Source organism: Homo sapiens, chromosome 14 (assembly GCF_000001405.40).
Source record: "Homo sapiens chromosome 14, GRCh38.p14 Primary Assembly".
NCBI lineage: Eukaryota > Metazoa > Chordata > Mammalia > Primates > Hominidae > Homo > Homo sapiens.
Window position 1 is genome coordinate 97,545,780 of NC_000014.9, and position 18,222 is coordinate 97,564,001.

At 42.3% G+C, this 18,222-nt stretch overlaps 1 long non-coding RNA gene across 1 annotated transcript in view; it reads left to right on the forward strand.

Annotated features, from left to right (window-relative positions):
- LINC02325 (long intergenic non-protein coding RNA 2325) overlaps positions 1–18,222 on the forward strand; it is a 122,568-nt gene that overhangs the window by 86,964 nt on the left and 17,382 nt on the right. Inside the window, exon 4 of the long non-coding RNA NR_110166.1 lies at positions 11,638–11,702. This is a non-coding gene — a long non-coding RNA (long intergenic non-protein coding RNA 2325). The remainder of the gene's footprint in view (positions 1–11,637; positions 11,703–18,222) is intronic.

Genomic DNA, 18,222 nt, shown 5'->3' on the forward strand with positions numbered 1-18,222 from the left:
GATGGGGACCAACTGCTGTGCAGCTCAGTCCCTAATAGGCCACCAGTACCAGTAGGTGGCCTGGAGGTTGGGGACCACTGTTCTGAAGTTCCCTGACTCAAATTAGTTAGTCCAGATGGGGTATTCTTTCACCCTGCAACCCATTATTTGAGTATGTAACTGTTCACCATTCATTCAACATAACTCCTTCCAGTGGCTACTCTGGGGAGTTTTGGCCCTGGAATTGGAATATGGAAATGCACGAGACACAGGTCCTGCCTTTAGATAGCAAAGGGTCGTAGGAGAGATGGCAGGGGATGAGTCATAGTAATAAGCGTGATAAGTAACATCAATTAACATTACTTATTCACTTATTTCATTGATAGTAATATTAATATCTGTGTAGAGGGGGCAGGGGAAGGAGCAAGCAACTGACAAAGAGCTGTAAGGAAAAAAAAAAAAAATCAGTCACTGGAGTGTACACTCCTGAGGAATACACTGCAGCTCTTCCGGATAAGTCAGAAGATCATTCCCGGCAGGAGGGGGCAGCCCCGGAAAAGGGAAAGGGACATTAAGTTCAAGGAATCATATAGGTTGGTACAAACGTCATTGCGGTTTTTGCCATTACTTTCAATGGCAAAAATGGTAATTATGTTTGCACCAACCTAATACGGCTGCCCATGGCAATGGTCAGCGTGTGATGGAGAGAGCGATATTCTACCGGGGCAGTTGCTGGCAGGGAGCTCTGATGAGGCAGGTGGGCCGTGATGGAAGGATACGGTGTATACCAGCACGTTAATTTTCAGAGAAGAGCGTCGTTAGTGCTTTCCTCTCTGCAAGCCCCCTGCCCTGCCTGTATCTGCAAGGCCTATTGGTTCTCCACGGAGCCGGACTCTGACTCGCTCCAGCACAAAATGCCTAAGCCCTCGGAGGTGCTCCGTATTGTGAGGGCCACCAGGCCCCGCCAGGCGGTGGGGGTGAGCCGTGAAAGGAGGAGAGGGCCCAGCCTCTCAAAACCTGTTTAAGACAACATGAAAAACCACTCACGTACTTTCAAATAGGTGAAATTTCACTTTCAGCTTTATTTACCTGAGAATGAATTTCAGTCTGAAGAGGCCTTTATGTCGTTGGAGCCGAAGCACCCGAGATATAAGCAATTTTCAACGAGAGTACTACACATTTGTCTTTATAACAATTTGTGTGTAACAGCTTTTATGCAAATGACACTAAAGTGGCACCTTTTTTTCTAAATTGGACATTTTTATGGTTATAATTTTCTTCTGTAATAACAGCAAAAAAAAAATGGCTGTCCCAGTGGAGTTGAACATTTCATCTTTGAGCACTGTCTTGTGAAGTTGGAATGACAAGTTTCTTTCATTTGCGCCAAGAATGTCAAAAAAGTGTTCTTTGTCTTCCTTGTCTTAGTTTTCAGGGGTGGTTAAACTTCAGGTGTCATCGTCCCCCATCAGCAACCCTGAGTAATCAGAATGGTCTCAGAAAATCCCCACACAGCTTCCAGGCCCCCCAAAAACTGCCTGCTCTTTCTCCTTCCAAGCCGAGCAGCATAAATTAACTTGGTTAGATTTCAGTTTCAACACGTTGTTGGGTCTTTTACATTCATGCCCACTTTTCCCTAAGTCAGACAGGTGACTTTTATAGACAATGAGGTTTAATTGACTCCAGTACAATGGAATTTATATACAGTATTCCAGGCAACCATCCCGAGATACTCATAGAATAATTCACGTTATTGTTGCTTAATCGACCGAACATTTTTGCAGAAACAACAGGAGACGGTGTGTGTTTCAAACAATGACTTAAATATATCCAAGGACTCGGTGAAACAATATCTATAATTTGTGGCAGTGGAGGCCTTTGGGATGGACGAAACTAGAAGGTCTCAGCAAGCGCACATGGGAGGAGTAGAGAGAGGTGCCGGGAAGAACTGGAAAGAACAAAGGCCTGTGCCCGGCTTGACCTTGGAGGTGTTTCTCCCTCTTTCTACGCTCTGATTCCCGAACGGTTCCCCTTCACCTTCATTCTAAAGTCAATAGTTAAAAGGGGTTGTTTTAATACATTCAGAGAAACTTGCTGTAGTATTAACTCCTGATTTTTTTTGAATTTGGAGATAACAAGAGAAGAAGAAATTGGGAGGCAAGAGACCAAAAACTGTGTCTATTGTGTGGTGACAAATTGATGTGCATCATGGAGGAAAGAGACTCCAGGACATGTAGACTTGAACTCAAACATTGAGAACTTGCTAGGTATTTGACACGGAGGAAGTAACCCACCCTTTCTAAACTTTTGCCTACCCGTGTCTTAGTCCTTTTGGGCTGCTGTAAGAAGATACCTTAGACTAAGACATTTATACACAGCAGTCATTTATCGATCTCAGTGCTGAAGGCCAGGGAGTCCAAGGTCAAAGCACTGGCAGACTGGGTGTCTGGTGAGGACCTGTTTCTCATAGAGGGTGCCTTCTGTGTGTCCTCACATGGTGGAAGAGACAAGGAAGCTCCATCAAGCCTCTTTTATGAGCATGGATCCCGTTAATGAAGATAGGCTTCATGACTTAATCACCTCCTAAAGGCCCCACCTTTTAGTACTATCACATTGGGGATTAAATTTCAACATATGAATTTTGGGGTGACACAAACATTGGGTCCAAAGCAACCCACCTGAAAAATGAGACCAGTGATATCTGTCACACGAGGTTCTCATGAAACTCAAAGGAGATCATAAGTATGAAACATGCTAACATCTATAAATGGATGCTTATGTTTTTATCATTATGATGAAGACTTATTTTCTTTTCTTAATTGAACTGACATTATAAAGTCACCCAGAAGCTACCTGCTATGTTGTTAATACCACCCAACCCAAAGGGTTGTAGTTCGTAGCTTGAAAATGGACACCCCTGAGGAGCCACCAATCATACATCATGCAATGCGTGCTCCTTGGCTTCTTTCCTGAGTCGTGGCCTTTCCTTTGCCCAGCAACACATATGCTGCTCAGCCATGCTCAGTCCTAGGCAGGCACTGGAGATTCAGAGAAAGGCAGGACATGGTCCCTGCCCCCACAGTTAGTTCCAGCTAACTCTAAGTACAGGGTTTTGATTGGATGTATACTGAAGCCGTGTTTCCTCCCTTCATCTCCCCTGGAGGGAGGGTTGTGTCCTGGCTGGTGGAATATTGGGTGATTTTTACTTTTAATTTTAACCCTTTTATTTAACCCTTTGTGAAATATATGAACTTTTTTGAACAAAAATGTGTTATATATAAGATGAAAAAACTGCTTTCACTGTGAAATGAAAAAAAGACTTATAACAAAAATAGTTTGAAAGGGAAGTTGGCCGTCTTTGATATACAGGTTTTGAATTAGAGAGGCTTTAAATGATAAATGGAATGTGTAATTTGTTTTAGTAGAAAAGTTTATCTATCTGTCTACCAATAGACAGATCAGATAGGTAGGTAGGTAGATAGATTAGATAAGTGATAGAAGATAGATACATAGATAGATAGATAGATAGATAGATAGATAGATAGATAGATCTGGAAGCTAGATTTGCACATATGTGGGTACACTGTGTACATGCACAGCTGTGCGTATACACACACATGCCCACACCTATCAATATAGAGGCATTTGTGAAACAGCACATCTTCAGCTGAGGCCACTTGGTGGGATTCCTGTGCTTTGATTTCTTCCTCCTGGCCATCTCTTCTACCCCTGGATGGGATGTCTTGGTGTTCTCACTCTGGCCCTCCTTCATCCAACTGCCCTTGATCCTCCACATTGAAGAGCAAATGACAGGACTAGGCAGGCCTGGCTCAGGACCCCAGACTTTAACCACCAGGCCTCTGATTTCAGCATGCAAGTCCTCCCAGGCCGTACAGAGGAAGGGGAGAGCGGTCTCTGGGGTTCCTCTCTCCACATACCACTTGTTGATTAGTTCACTTGTTTATCCTTCATGCACTTTAGTCTCCTTATCAGCAAAATACGAAGAATGAAGACAATCTCAAAGACTGTTAGGGGAATGAGAGCCCTTGATATAGGTTGGTCACTTTATAAACATCACTTCCTTTTTCTCTGATTTGATGGCTGGGAAGAAGGACAGTGACTTTTAAACTCCCTATAAGCTCATTAATAGGAATTAAGTTTGTTTCAATTTTCTATTTTCAGAGAGTAATCTTAGAGACATTATAGTTACTATCCTTCACCCACGGGACAGATGAAAAAACGAAGTATCAAAGTAGGTGGTGCGTAAAAGTGCTGGTGACAGAGACCAGTCTATAGTCCAGCCAGCAGAAGATGTCTATTGGGGAAATCTATTCCAGGGTTTTATCCCACGTATCACAGTGTGCTGGCAGCACAGTTTCACCTTGCATCTTGCAAGCAGAAATGCTTAGGGGCCAGTGTGCATACATCAGCATATATCTATATATCCTTACAGAAACCAAATATTGAAGCATGTCACCATTCTAGGATTGCTGCAGAAGACAAAGCAATTTGCATGGATCCTTTGTGAGCTTTCTTTTGCAGTGGTAGAAACTCATTAAAATCTCATGAAATCCTTCTACACAAAATGTGAAGAAATGCCGAATGGCCGCCCTAAAAGTTAATATGTGTGTGTTCAAGGTGAGGGGTTGCGGGCGGGAGGGACACATGTATTTGAAGCAGCTCATCATTGGATACAGCTGCCTAGAACAGGAGCATTCCTTAGCATATTTTAATTACTGTCTGGCTGCCCCTGTAAATAAATGAGCCAGTGGCTGGAGCTTGGAGGAGGCTGGGGACGGAAGCAGAGGTGTGGAGTCCCAGTGGTGCCTCTACTTGCAGCAGGGCTGAACTTGGGCATGATTTTTGCAGTGAGAAGAAAGCCTGCTGGCCTACCTGGGATTAATGAGTACCCAGGGAATGTGGGATGACTCTAGGCTGGAGCTGGGGTCATTAAATTCCGCTGGTCATTAATCCCCTGGAAATGCCCAGGGCTGAGGTCATTATTCTTGGGAGATAAAAAATTCAGGACCAAACAGCACAAGAACATGAATATCGTGCATGTCTCAGATTGGTGGTGTGTTTTTCAATTTGTTGGCAGAGTCCCATTCCAGGAAAACAAATCTCTGTTCCATATATCCATTGTGCATGCATTGATCATTTCAGCTTTAATTTTGAATCCAACCAGCATTTTTGGTGTGTCCCTACTGTGTGTCAGGAGCTGTTATAAGCTTAATTTCCTTTAGCCCCCAGGAGGTAAAGGTCATACCCTTCAGTTTAATTATGAGGAAATTGAAAGTCGGACAGTGTAAATGATTTAAGTCACACAACTATTCTTCAGTCTCTGGGCTTGGTGCTTTTTTCCTGCATTGAAGCCGCTTGCCCAGTGGTGCAAATTGTTAAGTGGTATATCAGACGGCAAACATCTTTTTTTTTTTTTTAATCTCTTCAGCTAGTTGTCCTTTTTCTACAAGACAAAAAAGACGCTCAATTCCACTTTAAAATTGCTGCAGTGGCTGGGCACAGTGGCTCGTGCCTGTAATCCCAGCACTTTGGGAGGCCGAGGCAGGCGGATCACTTGACGTCAGGAGTTTGAGACCAGCCTGGCCAACATGGTGAAACCCTGTCCCTACCAACAATACAAAAATTAGCTGGGCGTGGTGGCATGTGCCTGTAATCCCAGCTACTAGGGAGGCTGAGGCAGGATAATTCCTTGAACTCAGGAGGCGGAGGTTGCAGTGAGCTGAGATGGCGCCGTTGTAAACCAAACTGGGAGAAACAACAATATTCTGTCTCAAAAAAAAAAAAAAAATTGCTGCAATCTCTGATGCTGTTGTAAGAACAGCCTGTGTGGCACGTGCCATCTTCTTGCAGAGTGGATTAAGCTTCTAAAAAGTGTTCTACATTGTTCTGAGCTAACTAGTAAATTAGACTGTATGATTACAATGCCTAAAACCATCTTGGGCCAACAGCAAATGCACTCTGCAGACAACCTTACTTCTTTGTCCTTTAGTTTCTTTATTTGTAAAATGGAGCCAATAATTGTGGCACCTTATGAGATTGTTGTGAGGATAGATGAGCTAGTGTTTGTAAAGTGCTGAGAACAGCATCCAAGGCAGAGTAGGACATACAGACGTAGTTGTAAAAGAAAACAAAGTAAAATAAAATGAAGTAAAACAAAATAAGTAAAAACAGATAAGATAAAATAAAGTGATATAAAATAAAATGCATTATTAAGGCTGGAAATAGGCACTACTATAAGGAGTGTATGTTCTTTCAACTACTTTAGTGTGTTTGAATGCATAAACTATTTTTAGATATTTATTGGTCTTCAATACAACTTTGAAATGGCTTCCAACTTCTACAGTTTTATTCATACCTCCTTGCTGCCTGCCACTAGTGCATATGCAGATACCAGCAGAGCAGGGCTTGTTTGTTGCAAGTCTTTGAGACATTTTGCAGGAACCTTATGCGTTCTTTTACATGCAAAGAGAAAAGAGCACCAACGCTTTGAATCCCAACTACGTGCTTAGAACTTTATATAAAAACAAGTCTGCAAGTGAGGGTGTTTTATCCTTATTCTGTAAGGCTTCAAGGTCTTGGAGGGTTAATAAAAAGTAGCTCCAGTCACCCAGCTGGAAGGGGTGGACTGGGATTTGAACCCAGTGAGGCAACTTCAAAAGCTTTGGCTTCTCTTGCGCCAACAGACAAACATTTGTATAACTGTTTAATGCATCGGTTTTATCACCACTGTAATTTCTAGTAATATACTTCTTCTTACCTTTATTTATTGAAAAGCATTTTTTAATAGCAGTGGCAAGCAAAAGAACAAGAATTAACAACTGAGCTACAGTCTCTTCTAAAAATCAAACTGTTGTCTTTTTTGGTCTATGGTCCTTCCCAGAGCCTTCGTATACACATGCAGCACTTTTACATAGTAGTAATCATAGGAAAGACACATGTTTAATTCAGCTTTTTTGACTTAATATTAAACCAAGGTAGGTAATTTGAAGGACTTCATACATTCTGAAGCCTTTGCTCTAATGTGTTTGTTAAAAAAAGATCAAAACCCCTAGTTACGTTGCTGGTATGGTCATAACTGAATACTGTTCAGCTTCCAATAATTACCAATTAGAGCAGTGTACATAATATTTAAAATTGCATCAGAAGAAGGAATAAGTCTTCCAGGAGCAATGATAAGCCTTTCCATGATAATAGGACACTGCACATGTCTGTTATGAAACCACAGACTTCTAGACACTTCAGAGGGTCTTTGGTTTGGTTTTTCAACATAGTCAATGATCAATGACCGATGCATTTATATTACTGGGAGAATTCTTTTTATTCATTATGTGAACTAAATTTCTGTAGGCCCAGAAGTCTCACCATAAAATTTACTGACATGGGATATTTAACATTCGTATCTTTGTCTCAAATGCAAAGTGACACCATTCATTCATTCAGTATGTGTTTATTGATCACCTGTTTTCAAGGTGCCAGGTTAGGACATTGATTTGCAAACTATGAAGTGCATGTGAGCTCCCAGGGATAAGAAGATACAGATTCTGATTTGGTAGGGTGGGGATTACAATATGCAACATTCTTATCAAACTCCAGGGCCCAGGCAGATATTGCTGGTTAGTGGACCACGCCCATGCGGTGCTAGAGGATACTGGTGGCAATGAACCCATCAATCCAGCCCGGGGGGCGGCAAAGAAGCAAGTAGGCAAGGGCCAAATGAGGTTACTTCAAAAAGTGACAAATGCTGTGAAAACATAGAGAGAACCTGGCTATGGGGATGCTGGACCTGTAGGATGCTCAGGGAAAGCCTCTGTCTTGGAAGAGGTGACAGTGAAGCTGAGAGCTGTCAAATGAGAAGGGTGCAAACATGGGAAACTCAGGAAGATGAGCATTCCAAGCAGAAGGAAGAGAGGTGCAAAGACCCCGAGGAAGAAACGAATGGGTTGTGTTTAAGGAACAAAGAAATTTAGTGGGGAGAGAGTAAGTGAGGAAGAGAAGAGTGTGAAATAAGATCAGAGACATAGGGGAGGACCAGGGTGTGTCAGGCCCTCTAGACCACAGTGAGGAGTTTGGATTTTAGTCCATCCACACTGGGAAATCATGCCCTGGCTTTAGTAGGGCAATAATGTACTTGGAGGGATTTTTTTTTTTTCAAGGAGCTCTTTAGATAGGGTATGGAGGGCAGGTTCTAAAGAGGTGGGATGGGAAGCTATACACCAAGTAGACATCTGATGCCAGAGCCTATAAGACAGATGATGGGGTTTGGACAGGTTTGGTAGCAGCAGAGATGGAGACCCACAGATGGATGGGGCATATACCCTGGCAGCTTTTCTTTCTTCTATCAACCGACTGACTTGGGTGCTGCTAATGTGTCAGCCCTGTGCCAGTGTTGTCTGCTGATAACCACCTAGCTCTGGGAAGACCCACTCTATCCAGGGAGGGAGACAAGTGAGAGACTCGCCATTAGAACACCAGGACCAAGGGCTTCCCACGTACAGTGCTCACAATGAGAGCAGGTGATGATGTCTGTCCTGTGTTAGGCACTGTGCAATCCATTTCCCTTGAAGTACTTGCTATTATCTCACTTTACAGATGAGTAAAAATTGGGAGTCGGGAAGGCTGAGTACTTTGTCCAAGGCTAGTGAGAGGGTAACCTGGGGCCAGTGTTGCTACCTGTGGCTGTCTGACTCGAAAGCCTTTCCTGTTTCTTGGAACCCCACGCATCTTTCCTGGAAAGCCTCATTTTTCTACAGTCCCACAGAAAGACCCTTACACTAGTGACCACCAAATGTGGGTCTCTGCCTTAGGTCGCTACCCATCTGTTACGAGGCATATGCATGAAACTCTGCTTTCAAACTTCATTTCGTTGAGCCTGTCATGCCAGACAAAAATTGTGTGACCTAGCTTATAGTAGCTTTTGCCATGAAGGTATCATTTACTGGTGAGTATATTTTACTGCACCATTATAGATCTCTTCACTCAAGCAGCTGTCTAATATGTTGAATAGTCTTTCATCTTGTCAAACACTTCCATGCGCCTTTCTACAGCCTTCTCAGCCAACATGTACACACCTAATCAATCTAACGCCACTGTCTCCAGACTTTCAAACCCAAAAGCACTGCCCCAACCACTTTCTTAAAGAGACAATCCCTTTTCATTGAAATCTTTTTATCACATTCACAGAAGGGCTTCTTATTAGTGGATGCTTTCAGAGTGGTATAAAGGAAGAGGAAACTGGGATTTTTTTTATTGGTACATAATATGTGTACATATTTATGGGGTAAATGTGGTATTTCGTTACATGCATAGAATGTGTGATGATCAAATCAGGGTATTTACGGTATCCATCACTTGGAGTGTTTATCATTTATGTGCAATGGGAACATTTTAAGTCCTGTCTTCTAGCTATTTTGAAATATACAATACATTATCATTGACTATAGTTACCCTACACTGTTATCAAATATTAGAACATATTCCTTCTATCTAACTGTATGTTTGTACCCATTAACCAACCTCTTCATCTCCCCCACTGCCCCACCCATGTACCCTTCCCAGGCTCTAGTATCTATCATTTGGCTTGCCTGCATTTCTACTAGATCAGTTATGGAAATCTCTTGCTACAACAGGAAGACACATGGGCTGTTTCTCCTGCCGTCTTGCGGGCCTACACATATACACATTGATAAAGGAGGTTTTATCAGTGGGGTCTCATGTATTCATTATCTCCCACATGAAGCCTAAGGCTTGCAGAAGTGGCACACGATGTCTTCCATCTTCGAACATCAGAAAGCACCTAACCTCTCAGTCTCATCCAGCACCTTCCATCTCCCCCATCACCTCACTCTGTGCACTCCTGCAATATTAGTGGGCATTATTTTATGCCTTCCTGTTTTGGCTGTCTTCCCATGGCCTATAACACCTGCCTCCCCTGATCTTTCTGATGAGCTCCCTGACCAGCCTCCAAACTCTGTGGAGACATTATCCTCCCTAGAAAGTCCTTTTTGCATCTCCCAGGGTGCATGGCTTTGTCCTCAACATCTCAGGGGGCCTTGCCTGCTCTTCCATTATACATATTTATGAAATGATGGTATATATCTTATCTGTCCCTGAAAGGCAAATTGCAAAAACAGCTCCCATTCTCACCCCTGCCTGCGCCCACACCCTTTGCTACATAACTTTGAAACACCTTTCCACTCTAACTTAGACTCGGCAATGTCATCCTTGGCCAATAAGATGTTAGCAGATGTGATGCAAGCAGAAGTTTGCAAAGCCCTGATGCTACTGGGCTTGCCCTGTCTCTTGCATCTCTGCTCTTGCCATGAGAGCATGTCCAGGCCAGCTCCCTGAAAAATGAGACTAGAGCCCACTCATCCCATTTCCACCCCCCCCCAACAACTTTGTGGACTTTTAGACACTTGATAAGGCCAGGTGAGATGAGCAGAGCTAACAAGCCAGCCCCCCAAGGTCCAGTAACAATCATTTTCTTCCTGTTTTATATAACTGAGCTATTATTGTTTATTAAACAGCATTATTATGGCTGTAGGTGACCAATACACTCCCCTATAAACCTACATTCTCCTAAAGAACGGACATTGAATTTAAGTCATATTTGTGTCCTCAGGTCCCAACACTTAGTTAGGAACTCAATCAATGTTTGTTGAATTAAAAGCAAAATGATTTTCAAATTCTATATACATGATAGCAGCTCTATAATACTTAATCTGGAGCTTTTGTTATGACGTGGGAAACTCAACATCATTTTTCTCTTTGGACTCCAAGTTACAGAATTTCCACTGATAGATTGAGCCTTCGTTTGTGTGAGGATAGAGGGGAACCCCACTTTAGAACAATATTACCAATCTCCTCGCAGAACTATCCTATAAACCAAGTCTGTGTACAAAACGTTAATTAAAACCTCTTATTTTTAGTGTAAATATTTTACTCATATTACTTAGGAGAATTGTGTGCAACGAACCACGTGGAGGACAGAGATCACTCATGAGTTAATAGTCACCCCTAAACCAGTTAATCGAAACAGATTGTGAAAAAGTCCATAGATAAAAATGATTGCTATTAAAAAAAAATCAAAACAAAGCAAACACACACACACATACACACACACACGCACACACAAAACATTCTCTTGCTAGCCTTGCAATTTAGTGATAGACTGTGGATTTCTCAATTGAACTTTTGTGTCTCGGTATGATATTTTCTGTTTAAATTTCAGATTTGCTGCAAATACATCCACACAAAGGAGGCACTGAACACATAGGTAGATGTGTGCTCTGTTTTAGACTTTCTCCTTAAAAAAATTATATATGTATATATATAGAGAGAGACACACACACATACACACATATACACACATTTGTATTTGAATTAGTCAGGATGGAAGGAGGTAAGTCACTTCAACCTTTAAGCCCCTTTGACATTCACAAGGTGCTAAAAGTCAGCTGGGGTCTCAGCTCTGACGAATTTGCATCTCTTTGAATATGACGCTTGAAAAACCCCAGCGATAGATTAAATTTTGCCAAGGAGAAAATGAGAGAGAGGCTTCCATCTCTCAGGTCTGCTGGGAGGATCTTTATGGTTGATTTACTTTTTTAAAATAAATGTTTCTTTATGTGTTTCCCTCAGTTCCTGCCCAGGCTGACTCTATCATACAAGCTGTAACTTCTGCCAGTCCTATCAGCCAGCAAACAGTAAGTCAACCTGGCTCTGAATACGAGGTGAAGGGATATTTCAATCTAAGCTGCATATACCTTCTGTGTTTTCTGATTAAAATTTGCAAGCAAACCTTGGAATAAACTCTACCTGACACGACTTCTAAAATAATTTACGCTTTTTGCAAACCTCGAATGTAGGGATTGATTTTAGTTCCTGTCACTATATTTCAGATCATCAAAAATGGATCAGGGCTTTTAAGTGAATTTAATGACCAAAGATGTTTCCTTTAAAAAAAGAAATCACTGAGGTTAGAAGACAAAATTCCTTATCTAAAGCCACAGAAAAGTGTTCTTTTTTTTTCTTTTAAAAGTGGCCCATATTGATCATCAAAAATTTGAAAAATTCAGAAATAAAAAGAAGAAAAAATCACTCTTAAACAAATCAGAGATTCATTCTTATGCTTATTTTAACACATAAGCATATTTTTTCCAGTCTTATCTGTGTCTTTGTGTTTTTTGATACAGGTAAGCATAGAAAGCAAATACAACTTTGTTTCCTGATCTTTTCATCTCTTGCAATAACGATGGTGATAATTAATTAGAATGAAGACGGTAACATCCAAGCACAATTGATGAGGAAATTTTTAAGCTCTATGCACAAATTGCCTTGCTTTGTCATCAAAACAACCCTACAGGATGGGTTTTTATTATTTTCCTTATTTTTAAGTGTTAAGCAATTTGTCCAAGGTCACATAATCAGAATGTTGGAAAACAGTGACTCAGATCAAGGCAATCTTATCCCTAAAAGCTATGCTCTAAATCACTATGCTATGCTATAACATATGCTTTTTAAACATTATCATAAAGTCACTTTATATGTTTATATGTGATTTTTAGTGATTGTATAGTATACCAGGAGGCTCCATTTACCATGTATCTATATTTCATTCTATGCAAATATGCCTTAGGGAGGTGTGTAAGGTGGAAACCCTGTACTATAACATTATATAAATGACCTAATATCTTTTAAAGTCATTTCTTTATTTCTGGACATCAAGTGTTATTGTTTATTTGTTCTTCCAATCACACTTTTGGTAGAGTTAAAAGAGCACTAAATATCTCATCAGATAGACCTGGGTTTGGATCCCAACTCTGCAACTTACTACTGGTGTTTTCTTAGAGAAGCACCTTAATCTGTCTATATCTCAGGAAAGATAGGGTGTTGCAAAAATTAAATAAGATGTCATGGGTGTTAACTGTTTAGCACAGTTGCTGACACATGGGGAGCGGCTAATATCTAGTAATCCTTTTCATTATTAATCATTATTTATGACAGCTCTAATGTTTTTAGCAATATTGTCAATTATGTGACCATAAATTATCTGATTCAATCTTCACATCAATGCAATAAAATAAGCATTATTTATTGTCCTTGATAGATAGAACAATGAGGCTCCCACACGTCCAGCGATTTTCCCAGGTGAGGTCTGCCTCGGTTCCGGGGAATCTGATTTCGGAGGCTACAGTCTGAGGTTCTTTGCTGGGAACTGAGGTCCCATCCCAAGTGCCTTAATGACTGCCAAGGAGTTTAAGGGTAAAAGGGAGAACTAAAGAAACTTTAAGTAGGGAGTGGGTGAGATTGTCTGTCCAAGATCTGTCTGCTGTAGCTTATGACTTGAAGAAAGAGTAAGAATGAGAACTAATTATAGGGCTCTTATTGGAATTTAGGTAAGAGATGAAGTAAATATGAAAGAATGACAATGAAGTTGGAAAGAAGTGAATGGTTCCAAGAATTATGTTGGAGATAGAACTTGGAGGATTTAATGCCATGAAGGAGACAGGGAAGAAGGGACAATAACGTCCAGGTCTTTGTTTAAGGGATGGTGGGTAAAACCAATAGATTCATCACACAGAAAAAAGAATGGTCAGAGGAAGATGGCCAGTTAAATTTTGGATAAATTGACATTAGGTTCTTAATAGATACCCAGATGAAACTGACCAGGTTGCAGTTGAATGTAGATGTATGAAGCCCAAAAACAGAAAGCAAATTAGTGATCTGGATTTGTGTGCTTCTATTGACAGTGGTTGGGGATGTGGAACTACATAGGTGTGTCTAGGGAGAATGTGAAAAGAAGGGAACTGAGAATAGAATATAAGGAAAAAGGTCAGTTAAAGGATGAGCAGAGGCTATGCTGTACATTAGTCAGGATGGGTTAGGCTGTGCTGAGGTAACAAACAAAGCACAATATCTGAGTGGACTGGCACAATAGACTCTTATTTCTTCCTGTGCAAAATGTAATGATGATTGGTGGGGGCTCTTCTCCGTCTCTCTCCATCTTGGGATGCAATCCTCTTAATAATTGGCTTCCAGAGCCCCAAGAGAGGGAAAGAGCATATACACAGACTCTTAACTGCTTTATTTCAAAGAGATACATATCACTTGTGCTGATGTTCCATTAGCTGCAGTAAGTGCAGGCCATGCCCTGACCATAAAGGAGAGGCTGGGAAGGATTGTGGGTGCAGGAAGAAGACATGACACGATAATTGAACACATAGCATCGTCTTCATCTCCAACTCAGGTGGATTCCCAAATTCAGTATGAATTGTAAGCCTCTATTCAAGCACAAGAAGTAAGTGTTGATGTCATAGCTCAGGTTGGTATGCCTTGAGGTGTGACGGGTGCTGTGCATTTCTGCTCTTGTGGGGAGAGATGAGCAAGATACCAGACAGGACAGAAGCTGGTAGAACTGTCCTAGCTCTAGAGGCTTTGCACACAGGTCCAACATAGTCTACAGGAGTGTTGGAAACTTTTTCCAGGGAAAGTCGTCAGTAGAGCCCAGCAGTCTAGGCCACAATTAAGCTCAAAATAAGAATTGTAATTCTTACCAATTGATCCTGATGTAGCAAAACTCTAGAGCAAGCCAAACAGTTCCAGGATCACTAAGGAATCAGAGAGCAGGACATGGAGATGAAGCCTGGAGCTCATTTGTCCTGAAAGGCGGAATCTTACTTCAGTAAGTATCCACTGATAATTCCAACCAACTCAGACTGGGGACTTGTGCAGTGCAGGCTTTGAACATCAGTCACAGGGGCCCAAGGGGTGATATTTGTCCTGCTTTCATCAGGACTGGATTGAGTTTTGAGCAAGGAAGAACTTTGAGGCTGAAGGAGACTCCAAGTGAGAGGGCGTGGGAAAGTTTCCACGGGCACATTCTTGATCTTCCTGCATCTCAGCTTTGGTTCCTTCTGGTCTCTGTTGCTGACGATTTATGTCCTAATCCTTTAGGCACTTATTCCCCACCCTCTCTGGGTGCTGGTTTCCTGATTCCCGAGTGGGTAGAAAACAGTCATGTAGGTGATCTGTGAGGTCCCTGACCCTTTTAAATCTACTAATCTATAATTAATTGAAATATTGTAAAATGCAGCCCACATTAATGTATGCTGTTAGGCAAGCTGTTATTTTCATTAATCATAGACAGCTCTTCCCCACACTCCCAGTTAATGGGCACCGACTGCAGGTTTCAAAATTCATTTACAGGGGGCACTTGGAAGGGGGATGCTGTGTCCAAATAAAACTTCTCTTGAAGTTTAATTGCAATTCACTGCCGAGTGAGGCAGAGCCGTTTCCAAGTAAGAGCAATTCTCTAATGCATGCCGAGTTTTAAAATAAAAGTTAATACTGCTCATAACCGTGGCTGATGATACTAGGAAAACACAATTGCTTGAAGCATTTGAAGGTAAAGTATTTATTCTCCTTGCTCCAGCAGAGAAACACCTCATCGGAGCATTTGCAGATTCTGTTTCTCCTGCCTGCAGAAAGGGTGGGTGTGGCCAAGTTCATCTCCAGCTTCGGAAAGGCTTGGTGCCAGAAGCCCTCACTTTGCCCTTCTCAAGTGGGCTGTAAGGGTAACATATTTATGATAAACAAATATTCTTAATTCCCTTTTCCCCGCATTTCTCCCATCACTCCCATTCACCCAATTCCAGGCCACTCTGTTTTTAGGAAGACCATGTTGCACCCTGGACCTCACTCTCTTGCACTTTGCGTTAGCCGGTTATGCCTGAGCAAACTCTCCTGGAGGAAGCTGGAAGCCAGGTTCTAGCAGAGGCTTGTACAGAAGAGGAAAGTCCTTAGAAGAAAGAGAGAAGAACAAAAGACAAATTCCTTAAAGAAAGAGAGAAGAACTAAAGGATACAAGGGCAATCGGAACTGGTAACCTAAGGAAGTGCATAGTGAGGCAGGAATGGGCACAGCACTTCAGAACTTGCAAGGTCCTTCCCACCCTCCACTCCCAGCCAGCTCCTCCCCACCCCATGTGGCCTGAAGGGCTGGGATGAGGAAGGAAGATACAAGACTGCGGGAGTTACATGACTTGCTGTAAGCCACCCATTTACTCCTTGAAAGGTCTGAGCTTGCAATTCAAGGTCTTCACTGTACAGGCAGCCAATCCCCATTGCACTCATATTCCCATCATTCCTCCCTCCACTCCCCTGCTCGGAGGCTTCCTCCCTCAGTGGCTTGTGCAGCGCCTGCCTTGGCTACCACCCTATGGCATTGCTCACATCTCCTCTGCTCTCTTCCTAGTAATGTAACTAGCTGTCTGTTTCTATTTGCTGGGAACTCTGAGGGGTGTAACAATCTTTAATCATCAGAACAACTTTACGAAGACCACCCTGAAGTGCAGAAGGATAATGCTCCTGGCTTGTATCACAGAGCTAGTAAACGACCAAACCAGAATTTGGTCTGAATCCTGAGATCGTTCTCTTACTTGTAAGCTACACACTTTCATGTACTGAAAGAGAGGTAGCTTTGGTTTGTGACTTTATAAAGCAAGGACCCATCCCATTTGTACAAATGGTACAAATTTAGGTACCATTTTTCTGGAGATGCAGGATTTGGACCAGATGGGGAGAGGAAAGAGCAAGCAAGGTTCTGTGGTAAGAACATATAACAGGTACACAGGTCACAAGACATGGAGCAGGGCAGGTGTGAAGCACAGGGGAACATGAGAGGAAAGCCAAGCTCTGGAGGTGAGGGGCCCTGGGAAACCCATGGAGAAGGAACGCAGAGATGTACAGCACCATGAAACTTGGAGGGTCCCAAAGAGTGTTCAGTGAAGAGCTGTAGACTAGAAGGAAGAGATGGAAGAAGGGAGAAAAGGAAGGAAAAAGGAAAGGAATGAAAGAGGGAGGAAGGAAGGAGGAAAGAGGGAGGAAGGAAGGAGGAAGGGACAGAGAGAATAAAGAATGAAGGGAGGAAAGGATGGAAGAACGAAAGAAAGCAAAAGGTGGTAATCTTGTGCCTCATGTTTATACTCAGGTGAGAGTAGAAATTTTCAGAGACATGAAGCTCATCATTGACTATAAATCTGATTTCCTAGGAAAACTAAAGGTTTTTTTTGTGTGTTTGTTTTTTGAGACAAGTGACACAAAATTCCATCAGAAAAAGGGTAGGGTAGCATGTGCCTGCAGTCATTCAAGTCATTTATCTGATTCTTAGTTCCATGTCCCCTGGGTTTGCTGGAGAGGGAGAAGGCAGCAACAGAGACAGCGTGGTGGAGTGAGGTGAGCATCAGGAGAAAGCTATCTGGGCTCTCTTTTCTGATCTCTACCATCCGTGCATCCTTCCCTGAGCAAGACCTGACAGCAGACCTCTTAGAGGTTCAAGCACATCATCTGTATAAGAGGGTGATACAGTTTGGATATTTATCTGCTCTAAATCTCATCTTTAAATGTTATCCCCAATGTTAGAGGCAAGACCTGGCAGGAGGTGTTTGGATCTTGGGGACGGATCCCTCATGAATGGCTTGGATCCATTTTTGCAGTAATGAGTGAGGTCTTGCTCTACCAGTTCATGAGAGATCCGTTTGTGTAAAAGAGTGTGGTACCTCTCCCATCTCTCCTGCATCCCCTGTCACCATGTGACATGCCAGCTCCCCATCACCTTCCACCATGATTATAAGCTTCCTGAGGCCTCACCAGAAGTTAAGCAGATGCTGGTGCTATGCTTGTACAGCCTGCAGAACTGTGAGCCAAATAAACCTCTTTTCTTTATAAATTACCCAGCCCCAGGCATTTCTTTATGACAATGCAAAATAGATTAATACAAAGGGACCTCAGTGCCCTTGGTGATGAAGTGCAGAATCCTGGACGAGACTATTCCTGAGAGCCAGAAGGAAGGGTATTACCTCTCTCCACAGTTTCCAGGGCCTTTACATACACATTTCCATGCTGCTCCTTAGAACAGCTCTGGGGTTTTGGCTGGTGAGGGCTCATTATACCTATGGTGGTGATGTCGTCAGTGTGTGTCACTGAGACTCAACTGGAGAAGTGAGTTTCCCAAGAGCACACTCAGAAGAACAGAGCCAGGGCCAAGACTCACATCTTCTGCCTTCTTTATATGATGTTGCCTCTGCAAAACTCATCCTGTGAAGGCAATTCCAATCCCTCCCCACCCTGGGTTTTAATTTATAAGACATCCTATATGTAAATGGGTCATTCCAAACATCCCTTTTGGCCTATTCCTTTACTTACAAACTATGCCTCCAAGTCCCAA